At 42.1% G+C, this 22573-nt stretch overlaps 1 protein-coding gene across 12 annotated transcripts in view, besides 5 other annotated features; it reads right to left on the reverse strand.

Annotated features, from left to right (window-relative positions):
- DCAF5 (DDB1 and CUL4 associated factor 5) overlaps positions 1 to 21457 on the reverse strand; it is a 102317-nt gene extending 80860 nt beyond the window's left edge. For 3 of the 12 annotated variants that reach the window (XM_006720298.3, XM_006720297.3, NM_001284206.1), the window contains exon 1: positions 21025 to 21457. In XM_006720298.3, the coding sequence (XP_006720361.1) occupies positions 21025 to 21238 (214 nt within the window). In that variant the 5' untranslated portion in view covers positions 21239 to 21457. Of the gene's footprint in view, positions 1 to 17690; positions 17764 to 20673; positions 20860 to 21024 lie in introns of those variants that run through there. The other 9 variants (NM_003861.3, NM_001284208.2, XM_017021733.2 and 6 more) reach the window with 7 other exon arrangements.
- Positions 1652 to 1946: a silencer, noted in NCBI's record as "tiled region #12367; K562 Repressive DNase matched - State 5:Enh". NCBI's record gives its function as "represses a minimal TATA promoter and a strong SV40 promoter by Sharpr-MPRA in K562 cells {active_cell/tissue: K562}" and the evidence as "EXISTENCE:reporter gene assay evidence [ECO:0000049][PMID:27701403]".
- Positions 6212 to 6506: a silencer, noted in NCBI's record as "tiled region #6895; HepG2 Repressive non-DNase unmatched - State 16:ElonW". NCBI's record gives its function as "represses a minimal TATA promoter and a strong SV40 promoter by Sharpr-MPRA in HepG2 cells {active_cell/tissue: HepG2}" and the evidence as "EXISTENCE:reporter gene assay evidence [ECO:0000049][PMID:27701403]".
- Positions 19694 to 20153: a silencer, noted in NCBI's record as "silent region_5876". NCBI's record gives its function as "represses an Ori minimal core promoter by ATAC-STARR-seq in GM12878 lymphoblastoid cells {active_cell/tissue: GM12878}" and the evidence as "EXISTENCE:reporter gene assay evidence [ECO:0000049][PMID:35858748]".
- Positions 20314 to 20363: a silencer, noted in NCBI's record as "silent region_5877". NCBI's record gives its function as "represses an Ori minimal core promoter by ATAC-STARR-seq in GM12878 lymphoblastoid cells {active_cell/tissue: GM12878}" and the evidence as "EXISTENCE:reporter gene assay evidence [ECO:0000049][PMID:35858748]".
- Positions 21184 to 21823: a silencer, noted in NCBI's record as "silent region_5878". NCBI's record gives its function as "represses an Ori minimal core promoter by ATAC-STARR-seq in GM12878 lymphoblastoid cells {active_cell/tissue: GM12878}" and the evidence as "EXISTENCE:reporter gene assay evidence [ECO:0000049][PMID:35858748]".

Consider the following 22573-nt stretch of genomic DNA (forward strand, 5'->3'; position numbering starts at 1 on the left):
AGAAAAGCACTTTCCAGGCTTTTTTTTTTTTTTTAATGATTTTATCTATTTTCAAGTATAGAGTTTTGTGGCATTAACTACATTCACATTTTCATATCGTTGTGCAACCATCACCACATTTTATCTCCAGAACTACCCCTTCCCACTGACAACTGCCATTCTCCCCCTAGACACCATTCACTTGGCACAGTGTCTTCAAGGTTCATCCATGTTGTAGTGTGTGTCAATTTCATTTCTTTTTAAGGCTGAATAATACTATTTCATTGTATGTATAGACTACATTTTGTTTATCTATTCATCCACTGATGGACCCTTGGGTTGCTTCTACCTTTCAGCTTTGTGAATAATGCCACTATGAACATTAGTGTACAAATATCTGTTTGAGCCTCTACTTTCAATTCTTTTGGGTATATAACCAGAAGTGAAATTGCTGGATCCATATGGTAATTCTACTTTTAACTTTTTGAGGAATGCCATACTGTTTTCCACAGTGGCTGCCCCATTTTATATTCTCACCAACAACGTACAAGAGTTCCAATTTCTCCATATCCTTGCCAACTCTTTTTATTCTTTGCTTGTTTGGATAATAGTCATCCTAATGGGTGTGAAATGTTTGCTGGCCTTTTTAACCTTCAAATAATAGCCTAAAATAACTCTCAAGTCCTTTTAAATATCTCAGAGCGCATCATTCTACAAACAGTTTGAGTTATCTTTCTTCATGAGTACCTACCCTGAAATTCAGTTACCACTTTTCTATTCACTCACCCCATCCAGCCCAAAAGAGTTTTCTGTAGTTCATTTATCCCCTATTGTTTTGCATTTCACTGCCTCAAGGAACATCATATATAAATTTGGGAAATTTCATATTCATTCTCTCCTCAAATCACCTACAAAAACATTAAGAGCACTAAGCTCTATTTACTCAAGCCAGCCACTTCTGTGATTAGACCTATTTTAGAGGTGATATAATGTGGGGCAGCATAGCACAGCACAGCATTCAAAACCACAGGCTTAGTCTCCACGTAGTAAGACATAGGAAAAAATAATAAGAAAAAACCCACAGGATTAGGATACACAAACACAGGTTCAACTCTCAATGTCGCCGGCACTTATTAGCTGTGTGCCTTTAGACAGGTTACTTAACTTCTCTAAATTATAGTCCTCCCATCTGTAAAACTGAGAAAACAACACTACTTATTTCACAGTGTTACTGTTAGGATTAATGAGATAGATCTGTGTAAAAGACTTGGCCCAGTGCCTGATACATATTAAGAGCTAGATAAATGTCAGCTAATTATTATGCTATTTGAACTCAAACAACAGCTAACATCAGTTAAGTTTACTCTGGGTCAGGGACTATCCTAAGGGTCTTATATGTAGTGGCTCTTCCAATCCTTTTAACAACCCCACGAAGTAGGAATTCACATGAAACTACAGAAAAGCTACATAATATGAAGGGGTACACAGCTACCAAGAGTCATTGTTGGCATCTGAATCTAGGTAATGTGGCTCCAGAAACCATGCTCCTTACCATGATGCAATCCAGCCTCGCAAATATAAGAGGCCAGGCAGCAAAGTAAATGAGTCAGACTTGCCAGATTAAGTGACAGACTGAAGAATATATCTGTATTTTTAAAAGATAAGCCACCATTCAGCTCTTGCCAGTTGTTGCCATAGAGAAATACAGACTCAAGATTGCCAGATCTCCCAATTTTTGGCCCAGGGATAAGTTAAGGTTGAGTGATTTGCCCAAGGTCATAAAACTGCTGTTCAGTGGCACTTCCCAAATCGAAACCAGTAGGCAGGGAAGAGGCGGGGGTACAGGCAGGTCTGGAGAGATAGGAGAGGTGGTGTCACACAAATTTTGCTCTTCACTACAGAAGTAGCTATAGGGATAACATCTACAGGCATTACTTCTGCTGACACCCTGTTTTTACCTAGTACCCTTCTGCTAAAAGCTGAGTCCACTTATCTACCTATTATCTCATTTTTCCATGTCTCTAATGAGGTAAGTAGAACAGAAACATCCCCATTTTAAACATGTTAAAAGTGAGGTCCTGGCTTGCCTTAGCTCCTAGCTAGAAACACTTTACATTAAATAGGAAGTATTAAGCAGCAGCAACACCCTAACTAGACAGCTAGAGCCCCATAAAATGAAATGGTTTCTCCAAAATCAGATGACTAATAGCAGTGGAGTTTAATAAAGCTAGGGTTTTGAAATACTAACCCTAGACAATGTCTCTAATTCCTGATCAGAAACAGAGAAAGAAATCCACAAACATTCAAATATCCCTTTCTCCTTACACCAGAGTCACAGAGTAGAGATGTAAGGCACCTAAGAGTTCATCTTCTAACATCCCCATTTTGCCAGTGAGGAAACTGAGGCACAAAACTGAGGCACCTGTCCAAGAGCACACTGCCAGTTACAGGCAGAGTGGGATTCAAATCCAAGATGTCTGAGTCCAAAGCCCCTGCTCTTCCTAAAGTGTGGAACATAGGCCACTGGATGATTTTAGACAGTAGAGAAATGATTTTAATAATTACGTATTTTAAGGTGTACTAGAAAAAAACAACTAGCACATAAAACCCGTGACTTAGACTTTATAGTAATGTCAAGTTTCTTTCAAATGCTGTTTATAAGGAAAGTCAACTTAGAAAAAATGTTAATAGCACAGGTGACACTCCTTATATATAACAAAAATCAAAAACGTGGGGCTCAAACTTCTGAAATTTGGAGAACAGGCACATTTACGACCTCCTTAAGAGAGGGACTCTAAATCAGAGGCTGCAATTTGATATACATCCAGATGCAAACAGGGTTAACTAGGGAATAATCTCAAGAGAAATTAGGAGAATGTGACTGTTTTAACAAAGAAAGTTACAACCTAATGAGTTGCACTGTAATCAGTCTAAAGGAAGACTACAAAATGGCCAAAACATTAAAATATTCAGACTCACTAGTAATCAAGGCCAGTTGTATGAGAAGTCATAATACACTTTTTAGATGATGCCAATATTCTGACTGAATTGGTTAAGACAAAATAATGACCAGCAGAAGCCACGATGCAGTCTCATAATACATTGGTCCAAGTGTAAATAAGCTGGTTTAACCATCTTGGAGGACAATTGGGTGACATATATCGAATGTATCTTAAAAATATAAAAAATATTCACACCCATTGACTCAGAATTCCACTTCTAAAGATTTTATTCTAAGGGAAAATATTTTTTCTCTTGGACTTAGCTACAAGGATTGTGATAAAAGCAAAAAATAAACAGAAGAAACAAGACAGAATTGGTTAAATTCTGATGTAGACACTTGAAAGGATACGATGTCATAATATCATGCTTCAGAACAGTTGTTCTCGAAGTGTGTCCCATGGACCCCAGAAGGTCTGCAAAGTCAAAATTTTTTTCGCAATAACACTACAATGTTATTTGCCTTTTTCACTGTTTGAAACTGTACTGACAATGCAAAAGCAATGGTGGGTAAAACCACTGGTGCCTTGGCGCTAGGGCAGTGACGGCAAATTGTACTATTCATCAGTGTATTCTTTAACTGCCACTCATTCACAATAAAACACAAATGCCACGTTCACTCAGGAGTGCCTTGATGAAGCAGTAAAAATAATTGTATCAAATTTCAACCAGAGTACACATCTAAATACTCTGTATGACAAAATAGAAAGTACACATAAAACACTTCTGCTGCACACTGAAAAACAATACCTATTTTGTGAAAAAGTATCTATGAGATAGTTTGCATTGTGAGCTGAACTGGCTGCTTTTTTCATGAATAACATTTTTACTTGAAATTACTGAAAAAGTATGGTTATTCAGATTTGGGTATTTGCTAATATTTTCTCAAAAATGAATAAGATGAGCCTGTCACCTCAAGGAAAATAATTGGCAGTATTTGTAGCCAATGATAAAATTCAAGCTTTCAAGTAAAAATAAAAATTTTGGAAAAATTGTATTCACCATGGTGAACATAACCACTTCCCAATACACAGAGGCTTTTCTGATGAGACTGGTGGCAATGTCAACAAATGTGACTTTTTAAAATATACAATGAAATGTGTCAAGATTTGGAAAACCTGAAAAACTCAGTGAACCAGTATTTTCCAAATGATCGATGTATGATGTTATAAAATGATGCATGGGAGGAAAGACCCAAAGTTTAAGACAGATCAATGGATTTTAATGTAACAATGTAACAGGCTACGAGAAATTATTCGATATGGTTTTATATTCTACATTGCAACTAATCTTTAAGAAACTTCTACTTGTTTTGGTACAGTATTAAGGAAGAATATACAGTTATCTAAGACATTAACATGCTCTTCCCTTTTATAAAAACTGATGTGTAAAACTTTTTTTTTTTTTTTTTTTGGATACAGGGTCCTACTCTGTCACCCAGGCTGGAGTGCAGTGGGGCAGTCATAGCTCACTGCAGCCTCAACCTCCCATGCTTAAGTGATCCTCCTACCTCAGCCTCCAGAGTAGTTGAGACTACAGGTGCACATCACCATGCCTGGCTAATTGTTTTCTTTTTTGTAGAGACAGGGTCTTGCTATGTTGCCCAAGCTGGTCTTGAACTCCTGGACTAGAGCAATCCTCCTGCCTCAGCCTCCCAAAGTGCTAGGATTACAGGCATGAGCCACAGCACCCAGCCTATAATTTTCTTTATATACTTCAGCTAAACCAATATTTTGCAAGATTAAATGTGAATGCCTTTTATTATGACAGATACACACAGATTTGAGAAAATGTAACAATGACACTCTTCTCGCTATTTTTTTTTAATTTTGGAAAATATACTGTTTTTACTATTTAATGTTTTTTCACTTATGAAAACTAATATTTTTTCAGTTTGAGAACTGTTACTTTAGGACAGTGGTTTTCAACCCAGATGATGTTTCCCCTCAGGGAAAATCACCCTTGACAATATGTGACATTTTTGGTTGTCACAACTGGAAAGATGCTAATGGCATACACTGGGTAGAGGCCAGGGATGTTCCTAAATATCCTATAGTGCACAGGACAGCTCCTCATAACAAAGACTTATCCAGCCCAAAATGTCGGTAATGTTCAGGTGGAGAAACCCTGCTTTAAAAGAATATGCAACGAAATATGAAAAAATATTAAGTTTTAAAATATTAATCTTAATATTACAAAATACCAGAGGTGGCCTACTTTCAATTATATGTTTAATGTATGTATACTAAATGTGTATCAAAAAGGCTACATGTTCCAAATATTAACAATGGTCATCCTGAATAAGTGGAATTACTTCTTTTTTCCTTTAAATATCTATTTTCCAAATTTCCTATAATTAATACATAATAGTTGTTTAAATTATGAATGGGTGGGAGGCCTATCTTGTAAGTACCATATGCTGATGACTTGTATGATTTCAACAGGCAATTTTCCATAGTAAAGTATGGAATTAGTGACACGTCAAAGAATAAAAGTTCCTCAAATAGAGCTGGGGGACACTAAAAACGGGTTCTTAGGCCCTCAAAACCAGTAAGGAAAGTTATTAAGTTAGTGGATGATGCATTGCCAGGTACTTCCAGATCACAAATTTTCTTCATCTCCAGCCTTACCTCTTCTGCCATAGAGAACTAACCTGGACAATATGCTCTCCTGATTATATCACAAATACGCTCCATCCATTCTATGAGCAATTTCTGATTATTCTTTTTTTTAGTTTTGTACATAAGAACACTGCCTGCCTGGACTTTTGCAAAATTCCTTGTATACACAAAATTAACAACATAATAAAGCTTTCTTGTCTCTTCTTTGGCAATTCTAAAAAGACTGAATCAGTGAAGGCCCTAACACTTCTAGGAATGCACACTACACCCAGCCACCCACCAGCAGATGTAAACAGAGATGTCAACCCTGAGACTAAATCAGGGGCTAGCTGCCAAACACTCAAACTTCACTTGTTTCTTGCCAGTACAGTAAGCCCCTTTGCCCATGATTTCACTTTCTAGTTTCAGTTACCATTAGTCAACCAGGGTCCGAAAATATTACAGTCAAGATATTTTGAGAGACAGAGACCACATTCACATAACTTTTATTACAGTATAATATTATAATTGTTCTACTTTATTACTATTGTTGTTAATGTATTACTGTGCCTAACTTATAAATTAAATTTTACCATAGGTATGTATACATAAGACAAAACATAGTATACATAGGGTTCAGTACCATCTGCAGTTGCAGGCATCCACTGCGGGGCTTGAAACTCATCCCCCACAGATGAGGGGGGACTACTGTATGTCTAAGGCAAAGCACACACTTGAGTCATCTGTGGCAGCAAGTGATATAAATGAGGTATCTGTGCTAAGCCATCAACATAGTCAAGACACCTATTTAAAAAAAAAAAAGGAACATAGCAATCCTCAAAGGTTCCAATTAGTCACTTAGCTTTAACTTGTAACACCAAGATACAACTGGAATTTAGATACAAGACTTGAATGGAAATTCAGCATGGGGGAAGTTGTGTAACAAGATTTTGACAGGCATCTGGATTTGCAAAGAATTCCTCCTCCTGAGTAATGTTCTTGGAAGGAAACAAAGACTTTCCAAAGTACGGAAGTATAGCTCAGCAGGCTAAGAATTAAAACTGGAGACTCAACCAGAGTGACAGTTGGCCTCCACCCTGGAAAATCTCTACCTACTCATCTGTAAAATAATAGGGCATCACCAATTTAATCAAAACCATGTTCAGGGGCAATGAAACTGCAGATACAATGTACTGGCAGAGTAAGCCACTTAGGAGTTTAACACTTTACTTGAGCAAGTCCTTTTTAAATGCAGAACCTCATGACTTTCCCTATTGAGGGAAAAGGTCAGAAGACCCAGAGTTTAATCCTGATTGTACTACTCACTAGTTGTAACCTACTGAGCAAATCATTTTACCTCTTTGCTCCTTTGTTTACTTAGATGTAAAATTAAAGACTTCTATTAGACGATCATTAGTCCTTTCCAGCAACAAAATTCTGTAATTCTACAGAGACATCAGAAGCCTAAGATCACAAATGAGAGTGGTGAAAACAGGACTCCAACCAGATCACTTAAACATTTCACAACATGAAAGACATTCTAGGGCCAGGCACAGTGGCTCATACCTGTAATCCCAGCACTCTGGGAAGTTGAGGTGGGTGGATTGTTTGAGCCCAAGAGTTCAAAGTCAGCCTGGGCAACATGGTAAGACCCCGTCTTTAGAAAAAATAAATTTAAAAAATTAGTCAGGTGTGATGGCACGTGCTTGTAGTCCCAGCTACTCCAGAGGTTGAGGTGGGAGGATCACTTGAGCCAAGGAGGCAGAGGCTGCAGTAAGCTGTGATCACACCACTGTACCCCAGCCTGGGCAACAGAGTATAATCCTGTCTCAAAAAAGGAAAGAAACAGAGAGAGAGAGAAAGAAGAAAAAAAGAAAGACAGTCTGGCCAGGTGCAGTGGTTCACACTTGTAATCCCAACACTTTGGGAGGCAGGGTGGGAAGATCGCTTGAGGCCAGGAGTTCAAGACCAGCCTGGGCAACATAGAGACCTTGTCTCTACGAAAAAATTAAAAATTAGCTGGACGTGGTGATGCACACATAGGTGTACATCACCTATGTGTCCTAGCTACTTGGGAGGCTGAGGCAGGAGGATCAATTAAGCTTAGGAGGTCGAAGCTTCAGTTAGCTATGATCATGCCACTGCACTTTAGCCTGACCCACAGAGCAAGATTCTGTCTCACAAGAAAGAAAAGAAAAAAAGAGAAAAGGAGGCTTGGGCATGGTGCCTCATATCTGTAATCCCAGTACTTTGGGAGGCTGAGGCAGGTGAATCACTTGAGGCCAGGAGTTCAAGACCAGCTTGACCAACATGGTGAGACCCCGTCTCTACTAAAAACACGAAAAAATTAGCTGGGTGTAGTGACACATGCCTACAATCCCAGCTACTCAGGAGGCTGAGGCAGGGGAATGGCTTGAACCCAGGAGGTGGCGACTGCAGTGAGTGAGATCACACCACTGCACTCCAGCCTGTTAGCACCACTGACAGAGTGAATAAGACCCTGTCTCAAAAAAAAAAAAAAGAAAGAAAAGGAGAAGGAAGGAAGGGAAGGAGGGAGGAAGGGAGGGAAAGGGAAAGAAAGGAGAAAGAAAGAGAAGGAAGGAAAGAAGGAAGGGAGGGAGAGAAAGGGAAGGAAAGGAGAAAGAAAGAAGAAAAGAGAAGACAGAGAGGCCAGGCGCAGTGGCTCACACTTATAATCCTAGCACATTGGGAGGACGAGGGGGATTGCCTGAGCTCAGGAGATCGAGACTAGCCTGGGCGACGTAGAGAAATCTCGTCTCTACTAAAACTACAAAAAATTAGCTGGGCATGGTGGTGCACACCTATAATCTCAGCTACTTGGGAAGCTGAGGCACGAGAATCTCTTGAACCCGGGAGGCGGAGGTTGCAGTGAGTCAAGATAGCGCCATTGCACTCCAGCCTGGGCGACAGAATGAGACTCTGTCTAAAAAAAAAAGAGAGAGAGAGAGAGAAGACAGAGAAAGACATTCTACAGCCATATACCTGAAAAACTACAATCCCTGAAAATTCTTCTCCGGGCCACTTGAGGGGGCCAACTTTTACTCCAAATACACTCTGGTGCTGGATAGCTATCCCAAAAAATTAAGCCTATAACATTTTTTTCTTGCTTATTTAATTCTTATTTATCATTCATATTTTACAGATGACTGTAACATGGTTTTAATATCAATATCACATCCACTTTTAGTTAAACACTCCTCAGGAAAAATTTCAACTCAGTGGAGAATCATTCCTCAAAATACCTTTTCTCAAAATCAACTCTACAAAGAACAACAACCCATAGGAAGACTGTAAAAACAAAAAAAAGTACAAGTAAACAGTATAATAAGAACTATAAGATGATGTATATAGAAAGGATGGAGTAACATTAGCCTCTGGACCTGGCATGTTCATAACGGTTTCAGCCTTTTTTTTCCCTTTCTAATAAAAGGCAAGTGACTAACTAACCACTCTGCTTCTCAGCCTCTATCTGGTACCTTAAAAGTGGCAGCGGAGGCCAGGAGCGGTAGCTCACACCTGTAATCCCAGAACTTTGGGAGGCTGAGGCGGGCAGATCACCCCCGCCTAGGGACTGAACTCTGTCAGGAGTTCGAGACCAGCCTGGCCAACACGGTGAAACCCCGTCTTTACTAAAAGTACAAAAATTAGCCAGGTGTGGTGGCGGGCACCTCTAATCCCAACGGGATTACAGGCTGAGGCAGGAGAATTGCTTGAACTCGGGAGGTGAAGGTTGCAGTGAGCTGAGATCACGCCACTGCACTCCAGCCTGGGCCACAGAGCGAGACTCCATCTCAAATTTAAAAAAAAAAAAAAAAAAAAAAAAAAAAAGTGGCAGCTGAAAGACCTGAAGTAAGGAGAATGGATGCTTAAAGGCTTTTCTACTAGAGGCATCCCATAGTGAATGTGAGGAGCTAAGAGACTGGGGTTTTGGTTTTACTTGCATACCAGACAGTGCAATAATTATAAGCAGGTGACCATATAACTTATCCTTTAAACTGGGACCTTTTTTTTTCTTTTTCTTTTATTATTATACTTTAAGTTCTAGGGTACATGTGCACAACGTGCAGGTTTGTTACATATGTATACATGTGCCATGTTGGTGTGCTACACCCATTAACTCGTCATTTACATTAGGTATATCTCCTAATGCTATCCCTCCCCTGTCCTGCCACCCCACAACAGGCCCCAGTGTGTGATGTTCCCCTTCCCTAAACTAGGACCTTTTTAAGAATGAAAGGAACACTAATAATTACACTGGGACAATGGGAGAGCTTCAGATGGTCCCAAGTAAATCAGGATAAATGATTGGCTTGGTTACAAAGGATCCCAACAATCAACAAGGCAGGCAGGTGACGTAGAGTTACCTAATGAACCTTATTAAGTAATCTTGCCTCATCTTATCAACTGGCAGAAGCCCCAGCAGAGGCAGAAGGGAATACAGGAATCAGTCCTCCTGCCAACATTATCTCTGCTATGTGGATCCATTATAAACCTGTCAATTTCCTCAGATGCCATTTTCTCAATGACTCCTACATAATCCCAGCCCTTTGGAATATAACTTTCATTTTTTAAATTGGCCCTAATAGGAAAACAGTACTAGAGCACATGGACTTGATCTATGAATTATCAACTCTGTATCCCGAGAGGTATATGATAGAATTTCTGGTATTCTGGCCAGGTATGGTGGCTCACATCTGTAATCCCAGCACCTTGGAAGGCCAAGGTGAGAGGATCACTTGGGCCCAGTAGTTCAAGACCAGCCTGGGCAAAATAGTGAGATCCTGTCTCTACAAAAAAAAATTTTTTTTAATTAGCTGGGCACGATGGTGCATGCCAGTAGTCCCAGCTACTCGGGAGGCTGAGGTGGGAAGATCACTTGAGCATGGAGGGTCAAAGCTACAGTGAGCCGTAACTGCCCCTGCACTCTGGTCTGAGCAACAGAGCATGAATAAAGTGGCAGGGCATGGGAAGATCAGGTAACTAAAGTGACAAACTACTACTGTCAAGTCTTTCCCTAAATCTCTGATTTAAGAAAACTGACAGGAAGAGCAAACTGAGTCCAAGACCGGAACCAATGGAGCAACCTTTCTTTTTACCCATTCAGTGAATGGCCATGAAAGTGAAATGCCTTCTTTTCCACAGAAGCAGAGTGACGTTGTGGTGACAGAAGCAAATTTTACTTACAAGAACACTATGCTTCAAGCTCATTAAGGATTAAACAGGCTTATCATCTGGTCTAGCAGTTACACCTCCCTTTATGATACTGTGTGTGTGAAAAAGTGCTTCCAAATGACTTACTAGCACTCTCTGAGCAAATCAGCCCATATTAGGTTTACACTTTCTTCCAAAAAGCACTTTATTCTGAAGCACAGTATTCATCTGTGGCCCAGACAGGTATTTTCTCCCCATGTATAACTATATGAGGAAAGACACCTATTTGTTGACTGAAATTCAGTCAAATGTAATCATTCAGCATGACTTGGGCAGATATTAAACTCAAATTACAGGTTCAGTAAATACACATATATTGTTTTTACTTTTAACTGGGCTAACAGACAAGAGAAACCAACTTGATAACTAGAGTATACCTACTCCTAATCAGACTAAAGTAGGGAGTTAAACCCAGTGGGAGTTAGTCACATGGTTACGTATGGAATACACAGAGTGTGAGGAAGAAGGAGACTTTAGATAACTGCAAACATCAGAATCTAGGTGAGGTGAGTGCTAGCACCAAGAGACATCTGCTTGAGAAGTAAGTACTGTGGCTGTGATGAGAACCCTGCTTACTGGCTCCAAGTCCACTCCCATCTTCACAATTCCACCCGTCATCCTCCACTTACATATAAAAGTGAAAAACTGCAGATAGCAAAATATGAGTGATAGCATCAAGAGAGGAGAATGAAGGAGAAAAAAAATCAGATCCTTTAAAAATGCATATAACATTGTAAAAATTTCAAAGCAGTTAGCATGTCTCAGAAAACATTCAGACCCAACCTGGAAATCTAGCTCCACCATAAACCATGGGAGCTTTCATAAGTTACCTAACTTCTGTAAGCCTCAGTTCCCTCATATGTAATATAAGGATAATAATACTACCCTAACTTACAAAACATTCTTTTAAGTGTTACATATGCCTGGCACATGAAATGCCCCCAAATAATATTTGATAAATAAATGACATCAAATATTAGCTATTTAAAAAATCTGTTAAACTTTTTTTTTTTTTTTTTTTTTTTTTACAAACAGCAATGTCTCAGCTGAACATTGGGCGAGGCATTCCTTAATTTGGTAGGCGCCGGGGAGTGCTGCAGATCAGCAGGGGATGTGAAACAATGACAGTTACATTTTGGGAAGCTTATATTATAATGGCAGTGGCGACTAATAAGTACTAAAACTGAAAAGAACAAAAACTTGAAAAGCAGTTATTGGAACCAAATTTTCTATAAAGTAACGGATCATGGTTATAAAAAAATCTTTTTTCACCCCTAGAATTACGTTTCACATCATTTTTTTATGACTAGTCAAGTGAAGCAATAGGAGTGGAAAAGGAACAAAGAAATCTGTAACTGGTTGTGATCAATTAGTTGTAAGCACCACTGCATTCAGACCCGCCATATTTCACTTCATTTTAACCACAAATAATGAATTCTATTTTTCCACTAATGCATTGCCTGTTCTCTGGATTACAGAACTCTCAGCAGTAATTTATCAATGTCCTTCCTTGATTCTTTAGCACTCACTTATGACAATTAATGCAAAACCTTCAAATCTCCTTGCCTTTCTATACTACAAATCTCATTGCCTTTCTACACTACAGGTAACGCTGGCTATTTTCCAAGTGGCAAATAAGACATGTAAAGTGCTTAGCAGAAGGCCTGGCATACGTTACAAGATAAAAAAAAAAAAGTTAAATAATAATTTTCATTGTTATTAAGATTAAAGGGGCACAAGGCCAGGCGCGGTGGCTCACGCCTGTAATCACAGCACTTTGGGAGGCCGAGGTGGGCGGATCACAAGGTCGGGACATCGAGACCATCCTGGCTAACACGGTGAAACCCCGTCTCTACTAAAAATACAAAAAATTAGCTGGGCGTGGTGGCGGGTGCCTGTAGTCCCAACTACTCGGGAGGCTGAGGCAGGAGAATGGCATGAACCTGGGAGGTGGAGCTTGCAGTGAGCCGAGATCGCACCACGCCACTGCACTCCAGCCGGGGCGACAGAGCGAGACTCCGTTTAAAAAAAAAAGATTAAAGGGGCACAAAATGGGTACTCAATAAATATTTTAATGAGTAAATAAACATACTTAAGTAAAACAAGTTAACCTTATTTACAGCAAAACACAGAGATATAATTTATCATTTAAGAGAAGCAACCAGAGTTGTACATGTGCTCCAGAAACTGCTAACATTCAGCTTTCAATTCCTTAGGACAGATCCAGAAAATGTGACCTGCCTACAAAGGGAAAAGAGAGAAACAGCACCTGCCTGGGAGCAATGAGTCCTACTTAGAGTCCCGACAGCCAGAGACAATGCAGACAGCTCTGGGCAAGTCACTTGTCTAGATCTCAGCTCCCTTTCCTGTAAAATGAAAATCCTTCCATTTCTCCGATCCCATGCAGAAAAGAGAAGATATAAAAGGGTTACTTAATGCAGCATTTCACAAGCTTCAATCTTGATCATCTTTTCATTTTTGCCATATCAACATAACACTTTTATTGTTTTTCTTTAAATTGATTTGCATGATGATGGCTCACTGCAGCCTTGACCTTCCAGGCTCAAGCAATCCTCCCACCTCGGCCTCCTGTGTAGCTGGGACTAAAGGTGCACGCCACCATACCCAGCTAGTTTTTAAATTTTTGGTAGAGGTAGGGTCATGCTATGTTAACCAGGCTGATCTCAAACTCCGGGGCTCAAGTGATCCTCCTGCCTCTGCCTCCCAAAGTGCTGGGATTACAGGTGTGAGCTACTGCACCTGGCCTTAATTTACTTAAAAATTTAACCTCACCTTAAGTAATAAAATCATTAAAAATATTTTATTCACGTTAGCTAATTTTTCTAATGTGTCTAAAGATAAATTAACTACTCAACTTTAAATATTCACTCAAAGATTATCTAAATTCATCTAACATATCCAAACTTTGGCAAATGGTAACCTAATTTTTATAACTGAAAATAAAAAAAAAAATTTTAATTTCCCATACTATAGCAACATAAGAAAATCAAAAAATTTAAAGGACAGGGAATTGAGTAGAAAAGAAATAGAATTTCATATTCCCACAATAATGTAAGGGTTAATTCAAATTAATATTCAGTTATTTTATAAGAATATTTTTTTAAACAATGTGAGGCAACAAAAATTGAAAACAGAACTGATTCCTTCTTAACTTAGGTAATCTTCATCTGAATTAGGATTTTATTTCCTTTAACTTTAAAAGACTTTCATTCCACCCTTGAGTATCTAAATTCAGACTAAAATAAGAAAAGCAATTAGTTTCTTCTTTCTTAAGACCATAAAAAGAAGACAGAGATTAAAATTAAGTGCCATGTTTATTAGCAATGGAAGTGCTCTTATAAACTTATGCTCTCTTTGCCTTGATCAATGCATGAGAAAATAAATGCACCTACTTCTTAACTTGGAATTAAGAGAGTAGTATGCATTTGTGTGACAAGTTTTACTAGTCAATAAAGTTTCCCTCATCTAAATGACTCCAACTGTACTTTACAAACAAATCCATCAATAATCAGTGAAAGCACGTGCTTGTACCTGGGCTGACACTTCCTTTCAATGTGGTGGCCAAAATACATAACTGAGGACTCTTGCTCTCTTTAGGAAATCTTAGCTATCAAAAACACATTGGCATAAATCAAATTAAAAATGATCCTTTGAACAATACTGAGCACAAGGACAACTTTTTGATGTATTAATAACAATGTCTAATGTGACTAATGATCAGCAGCTAAACCTCACTAGGTTATTTTAAAGTAGAAGTGACAAACCCAGGCATAAATCTAAATTTGCCAACCTTTGATAGGTATCAATTAGCTGACTAAAGAACCAAGTAGGACAAATAATGTGTATCTATAAATATTCACATTACTTTATCCTTATGACATGATCTTTATAATTTATCATAGCAAAGTTCCTCAGGGCCATCTCTACAGGCCTTCTTTCTTTCCCACCAAATCTCACAGGCAAGAGCATTTTTGCTGTATTAAGTATAGCAAACCAGAGGAAAAAAAAATCTATTAAAGTATCATAAGGTAGAGGGGATATCTTTTAAAAGGTCATGAAATGTTACAAATGAGAACTGAACACTCCTAAAACACCAGCTTTTTGAAAACATAATTTATACCTGATTCATTGTCCCTGTTCTCATAGCTCCTGTTTTACAAACAGTATGCACTCAAAAACTATTTGTTGCACTAATAAATAGATCAAATAATAAAATACCTTCACAGCAATGAATTATCAGTAAATAGAAAAGGCCAGAAGAAAATTTGAAAACTGATTCCTCAATTACCTTGTTAAAATGTCTATACTATGAAAGCTTTTCAAAGACAAAAACCTGCTCTACCACTGGCCATATTTCTCCTGATAAGTAACTACCGAACCAACAAATTCATTCTAATTAAATGAACAGCTTTAATAAAGTCAGGCTTTATTTAACTGGCTAAAGCCAAACGACTTACCTGCAGATAATGTGCTTTTAGACTAATTTATCTACAAAAAACTGATTTCATAAAACGTGATATAAACTAGTGACTGGGAAACAGGAAATGACCATTAATTAATAGGTTCAAATTAAGCATATAGGTGTAATAATAGCTATTATTCAATGCTTAAAAATACTCTTTGATGACAGTACTGGTTAAGCTTATTCACAAAGTATTTTGAACAGTTCACCTCATGGAGATCTTTCTCAATATTTCATGGTGTACTGTGCCATGTGCAGTATATGTTAGATGTTGAAGGTATCAATCTCCTGAAAGCCTTTTGTGACATTCAAGGGAAACAACAACAACAGTTGCAGCAGCAGTAGCAACAGCATGGGTTAGGCCCTTGTGCTAAGAATTTTACAAATGTTATTTCATTCAATCCTTACCACAACCCTGTAGGGTATTATTATCCTTATTACATGGGTGAGGAAACAGACAAGAGAGGATAAGTGACCTGTCAAAAGCAACCCAGGTACCAAGCAGCTGGGTTGGTGTTCACCCCAGGCAGTCTGACTTCAGAGTTCATACTCTACAATCTCTCTATATAGATTATGGCTCCTTATAATGATCAATATGGTCAGAGACCCATTTGAACTAGAAATAGGCTAAATAGTTATCCCCATTTATAAGTATTATGACCAAGCAACTAAATGACTCTCCCCATTCACAACTCCTACATAATTAATACTTTGAAACATCATAGTTGCTCATGCTATTTGAAAAACTTCTAAAGGTACTTTTCCTATATTTAGTCATAAGCACACAAAAAAGATAATAATCTCTCACTATAACTCAAAACTTCATACTTATGGGTTATTCTGCTAGCTCTATAAGTTCCAATGCCTTAAACTTCGATTCAGGGGAAATAATATAGCCACTCTCATTCCAAAGAGCCAAATCTTTGTTTTTGTTTACTGCTAAGATGACTTGCACAAGCCCTTTACAACATATAAAAAGGCGGAGTAACAATCCAAGTCAAATGCACATAGAGATACATTCTGATTGGTCATCCAATCAGAGCCCTAAAAGATGTTCATTTTCTTCGCAAAAAAAAAAAAAAAAAAACTTTAAACAAACATATAAAGGACCCCATTCTAAGAAAAAGGAAAAGCATAAGAGGAGGCAATGAGAGCAATTTAGAGTACTAGATGCAACCAAAGACCTAAAGGGTAAACCCAAGATATCCCCTAAATATGCGTACTACTGTAACCTCATTGATGTTGTTAGGATCTCTTGTAAGTGGCACTTCAAATACAATGTTGTTCCCCATCCCTCAAAGGACTAACACACATAAATATTCTAAGAAGAGACTACAATCATCAAGTATAAGCTAGTCTTTATAAAAAGTAATGTTAACGGGCTGGGTGGGGTGGCTCACACCTGTAATCCCAGGACTTTGGGAGGCTGAGGTGGGCAAATCATGAGGTCAGGAGTTTGAGACCAGCCTGGCCAACATGGTGAAACCCCGTTTCTACTAAAAATACAAAAATTAGCCAGGTGTGGAGGCACGCACATGTAATCCCAGCTACTCAGGAGGCTGAGGCAGGAGACTTGCTTGAACCCAGGAGGCGGAGGTTGCAGTGAGCCGAGATCCCGCCACTGCACTCCAGCCTGGGCGACAGAGCAAGACTCCATTGCCCCCACCGCCCAAAAAAAAAGTAATGTTCACTCAAAATCAAGTTCATAAAGCACCTTCACATATAACATTTCATTGACCATTCACTACCCCCATTCATCTACCAGTGAGGGCAATCTGTTATCCTCATTTTACAGATGAGTAGTGAAGGTACTTACCTAAAATCAAACACTTTGTGACTGGTAGAGCCTCCAACTCAAATCACATGACATCAAATCCCAAGCACTTTCCACACCACATTGTGCCTCCACATTCCACATCAAAAAGTCACAAAACTATCCTGTCTGGCTAATCTGCACTGGTCTATTAACAATACTGTAATAACAAATGTCTGTTATTAATGACACCATGTGTTATGAATACAAAAGAGAAAGAAAACAAACTCAGTATTTTCTCTGAGAGGCCTGGCGCTCTGTTCAGCACCCAACCTATACTTTAACTAACATAGTTCTCACAACAAGCCCCTCAGGTAGGTGCCAATATTCCAACTGTATACCTCAGAAAACACATTCAGAGAGGCTTAGTAACTTGACTAAAGTCACAGATTAAACAAATGACACAGCAATGATGTTAACCACATATCTGCTATACCACACTGCCTAACCCAGTATCACAGCGATGCCCCTTTCTGGTCATAAACAAGAAAAATCAAGTACTTTTTCGGTTAAAGTATCTTAACGTGTCAAATAACCATTTCTCCACTTGTTGCTGTCATAATTTCACTTCCAAGCACAGCACCTTTTCTCCTTCCTGATTTTCTCCGGTTTACTCAATATCTGCTGGCCTCACTGTGCCCTGGAAAAGGGGATAGCTGTTGGAACAGAAAAGTGATGTATTATTAACTAATAGTACTTTACCCAGCCACAGGAATCATGCAAATATTATTTCTGCCCTGGGTATAAGTTAATTCTATCAAGTAGTATGTGTCAGTTACCAGAAATGTGAGCCTGCCCAAACAATTATGAAATGAAAACAATGAACAAACTATGAACAATCTATCATTTTAATCACAGCTCTCTAAGGGCTTTCCAAACCAGACAAGACACAAGAACAACAAAATGCATAAAAGTAATCTCATTACCATCCCAGAGTCTGGCATCCCACTACATTACAACATTGGGGATACATAGCATTAGCCTCAGAATACTGTGCTCCCCCACTCAGGTGTTGACTGCTAATGAGAGACAAAGATAGATAAGAAAAAAATATAAACATGACACTAGTTTTAAACGTGGGAAAATTATTGAAGGACTTCCCAGAAAAAAATTCAATTAGCTTTAACAAGTTAAGGTTAATTAGGACTCCCAAAGGGGGCTTCCTTATCTGAAGCAAACAGGAGGAACTTTCTGTTAACACAGCTGTGTACTCATAATGGAAGGTAAATAGCTAAAAAGGCTTTAAACCAAAACTCTATGTTCAAGGAACAAATAGGAAAAGCTAGGTGTATCTTAGCCAAAATGGAGGAGCGATGGAATAGCCTGCTGATAGGACTAAGAACAGGAACAGGAGTAGATAAAAAGGAAACAGGAAGAACTGAGCTAGAGGGAGTATGGGGGGAAGGAAAAGGAGCAAGGGGCAAAGAAGGCTGGAACCCAGGAAGTACTGATGGAGATGGGCAACACAAGCCTAGAAGAGTAAGGAAATAAATACCCAGAATCGAAAGGTCTGCCAGAGCCTCCTCTGTGGAAATGACCCTCCTCTTTCACAGGCTAAAATTAAGATAAAGGAAATGACCTGGCCAAGACTAGAGAAAATAGAGTTCATTTAAGATACAGGGGAGCGTCCTGCCCAAGGATAAAAGTAGTAATAACTGGTAAAGAACATTTCGTGCTTTTAAAAATGTAACTTCAAATAGATAAATTATGTGGCATGGAAATTATCTCAATAAATTTGTTATTTTTTTTAAAGTGTGAGCTAGGCATGGTGGCTTATGCTTGCAATCTCAGCACTTTACGGGGTGAGGCAGGAGGATTACTTAAGGCCAAGAGTTCAAGACTAGCCTGGGCAACATAGGGAGACTCCACCTCTACAAAAAAAAAAAAAGTTTAAATTACCTGGGCATGATAGCACCTGCCTGTAGTCCCAGCTACTTGGGAGGCTGAGGTGGGAGGTTAGCTTGAGCCTGGGAGATCAAGGCTGCAGTGAGCAGTGAGTGATAGCCCACTGCACTCCAGCCTGGGCAACAGAGTGATACCCTGTCTCAAATAAATACGTAAATAAAGGTGTGTCAAGCTGGGCAACGTGTGACTACTTACAATTCCGTTAACATGATTAGTTCAGTTGTCTCTAAAAGAGTACCCCCAAACTCCCTCACTCGGTAGGTAAAGTTTACTTGTGTCTGGGAACTTCTCTGTTGTAATACATCGGGAGTTTTATGAATACATAAAAAACAACAGCAGGGAAACTGGGAGCTAGGTCTATAAAGAAGAGGTCTTCCCCCATTTTTGCTCTTCAAATTTATTTGATAAAATTTTATACGGTGCTGTGGGGGAAGGAGGCTTTTGTCTGAAAGATCAGGTTTCTTCAGAGGATGATCTAGGGCCAAAATCTACCTAGTCAAAGAGAAAACGATCTGGGGTACAAAAGTCAAGTCAGTTCTGGACAGACCCCAGAAGGTTTATCATAAAATGATCACAGAAGACCTTTCTCTTTGCTACCCCCAAATTGGACTGTACGCCCCATGTCACTTCCGAAGGTTACTCGCGAAGACGGATGCTTTGCCAAGATCCCAGAAGTTTCTGGCGAGCTGCTCACGGACACAAATTAGAAAGACATTCAGGGACCGACCTGGGTGAAGCTAAGCGCCACGTCCAGCGCTGGGTTCCCCCTTCATCCCTCCCAATATAGGAAAAGGGACAGAAGAGGGCAGCAGCCAAGCAGGAACGCCCAATCAGCCGTCTTCACCCCCCCTCCCCTGAGCCAGGTTTCGGGGAGCCGCCCCCTAGCCCTCACGTAGGCCCATTCCCACCCGCCCCTGCCCTGGGCCCGCGACCCCAGGGAGGAGGGGACGACGGCGGCGAGCGCCCCCACCGGCAGCAGGCGCACCTCCCCAGGGGCAGCTGTCGCCGCGGCCCGCGGGGCCCGGGCCTCCCCGGGAGCAATAGGCTATCGATTCAGCTGCCTGTCGCTAGGAGCCCCGGGAGAGCGAGGCCTACACCGCCCGGCCGGAGCCCCGGCCTCGATTTCGCCACTTTCCCCAAACCAGAGGGAGAGCCCGGGGGCAACCAGGCCCGTCTGGGCGAGAGGGAGGAGAAGCAGAGACCACTTGCAACAGCGGCCGCGGGAAACGGGGTGCGGGGCGCCGGGCTCCCGCCAACAAGTCTCCCGGGGGTCCCCCACCCTACCGCCTGCCTCGCAAGTTGCGCATTCAAGTTCAGGCTGGTGCCCTTTAGCCTCCACAGCCCTCGCCACTCTCGAAACTGTATTAAAAACAAGACGCAGAAGAGGCCACAACCGAACGAAAGGCGATGGTGCTGGGCCTCTAAGAGCGCCGAGGGGGGCGGCCCACAGCGACCCTACCGCCCCAGTCACTTCCCCTCTGCAGACCCCGCCAGCCCCCGGGTCGCAGCCCCCGGCCCCTCGGCGTCCGGGTCTGTCACCGCCCGCTTCCCAGCCCCAAGACCCCTTTTCCTTAACGCCGGCGACGGGGGCTTCAGCTCCCCCTTGCCTCCGGCGCTCCTCGGCCTCCTCACCCTCCACATCCCCAAAATGCCCCCAGCACCTTTTAAAGTACGCGGAGGAAGAGTTTGCCGTCAAACTTTGTAGAGCGGTAACCTCGCCCCCCTCCCCGACCTACACTTTCAGGGCAGGCATCAGGAGAGATCACTTTGCACTTGGGATAAAGCGAATTAAGGAGCTGTCAACCATTTTAGGTCTTTTTTATAGAAGACATCCTCTCCTTCCCCTCCCCCTGCAATGGTTTTAATTTGACACCAAACCTTCCCACCGCAGAAGGGGGTAGAGAAAGGGAGGGGGTGGGGACAGAGGGCAGGAGGAGGGTGACGGGGGAGAGCGAGAGGGGGAGGCTGGGAGGGTGCGGGGAGGCGCGGGGAGGGGAAGGGGGTTGATTTACCTGAGACCAGCCACTGGCCTCCATTGTTGGAGAATTCAATGGCATTGACACAGCCGAAGTGGCCGAGGAGGTCCTTCTTGTAGAGGTTTCTGCAGCCCCGCAGGCGTCTCCTCTGAAAGTCCTGAGTGAGCAGGGGGTCCCCATGCAAGCCCCGCTGGGACAAGAAGCCCACCACTGACCTCATGCTGCCCCCCAGGCCAGCTCTCCTCTTCATGCTGGAACCGCCGCCGCCGCCGCTCGCGCCGCCGCCCCTCCCTCGGCCTCACGCGCGGCCGCTGCTCCCCCCACCCGGCCCTCCCCCCGCGCTGCGATCCGGATGGTTCTTTAACCAGCCATGGCAGGCAGAGCGAGGTGTGCAGACACTCGGCGGCGTTCGCGGCTTCCTGACGGTCCCCTCCCTCTCCTTCCCCCCGAGGCTCCTCCCTCTGCCTCTCCGCCTCCTCCAGCAGCTGATCCTCAGCTGCCGCCGCGCTTCCGCGATGCGCGGCCCTTCCGCCGGCTGCGGGGCCCCGAGAACGCGGCGTCGGCGCCCCTCCCCTCCGCGGGGGGCTGGCCGGAAGAACGCGGGCGGCCGGCCCGGAGACCACGGGCGCCGGCTGCTTTCCCAGTTGAGCCGCTTCCCGCCTGGGGACCTGGGTGGCGCCGGGCGGAGACCCCTCTGCACCCCAGCGCCCCGCACTCCGCGGAGTTGAATGCGCGTAACAATCCGAGTGGCCGCCGGGCTTTGGCTCGCCTTCCTCCCGCGGGGACCCGCGGGCCGGCTGCTGCCCGGAGGCCAGCGCCCGTACGAGTTCGGGGAAAATGCGGCTGGAGTGGGGGAAGGTGCGGGCGGGGGCTCCGGCCCTCCTTCCTCTGCTGGCCTCTGCCTTGGGCAGTCCGGCCCTGCCCGAGGCGGGGGAACCGGGAGGTAGGGCCGCACACTTGGAGGAACGTTGCCTGGGGGTTTTGTTCGCGCACCCGCCCCTTCCCCTCTCCCGGTAAATGTTTAACACCACCGCTCATCCCCAAGTCCAGTTCTCTAACTCTTCCTTCCTCCGGTCCTTTAGTTGAAAAAGGCTAAATTGTTCCGTCTGGCAGATTAGAGTGGTACATGGGGGGAAAGAGAAAGGGATAAAGAAGTAGGAAGAAAATTGCCAAAACCGAGTTGATGAAGTCCCGAGAAGCACGAGGTACTTCTCTCCGTTCCAGATAAATTTGCACGACACAAGAAGCGTGATTTGAAACTAACGATATATGTTATTTAATTGGGTTCGGTGAGCTCCTCTTAAAGGTCTCGAGTGGGGAGCACTGAGGTTGGACAGCTGTTAACCAGCAGCTGCGCTCCAGGCCAGAAGTGGCTGCACTTCAGTAGGATGGGAGTCACCGCGTTGACCCTAGTGGGTGTTAAATGCTTTGGAATTCTACCAGATACAGTTAAAAGTCCCCTTTTCGATGTATTATAGTACTTTTCCTGGAAGCTATCCTCTGTCATTAAGTGGTAATAAGCTACTGAAATAGGCACTTGTCAGTTTTGCCCTTTCAAGTTAGCAGGAATTACATCCTCTGGACC

This window comes from Homo sapiens, chromosome 14, assembly GCF_000001405.40.
Source record: "Homo sapiens chromosome 14, GRCh38.p14 Primary Assembly".
NCBI lineage: Eukaryota > Metazoa > Chordata > Mammalia > Primates > Hominidae > Homo > Homo sapiens.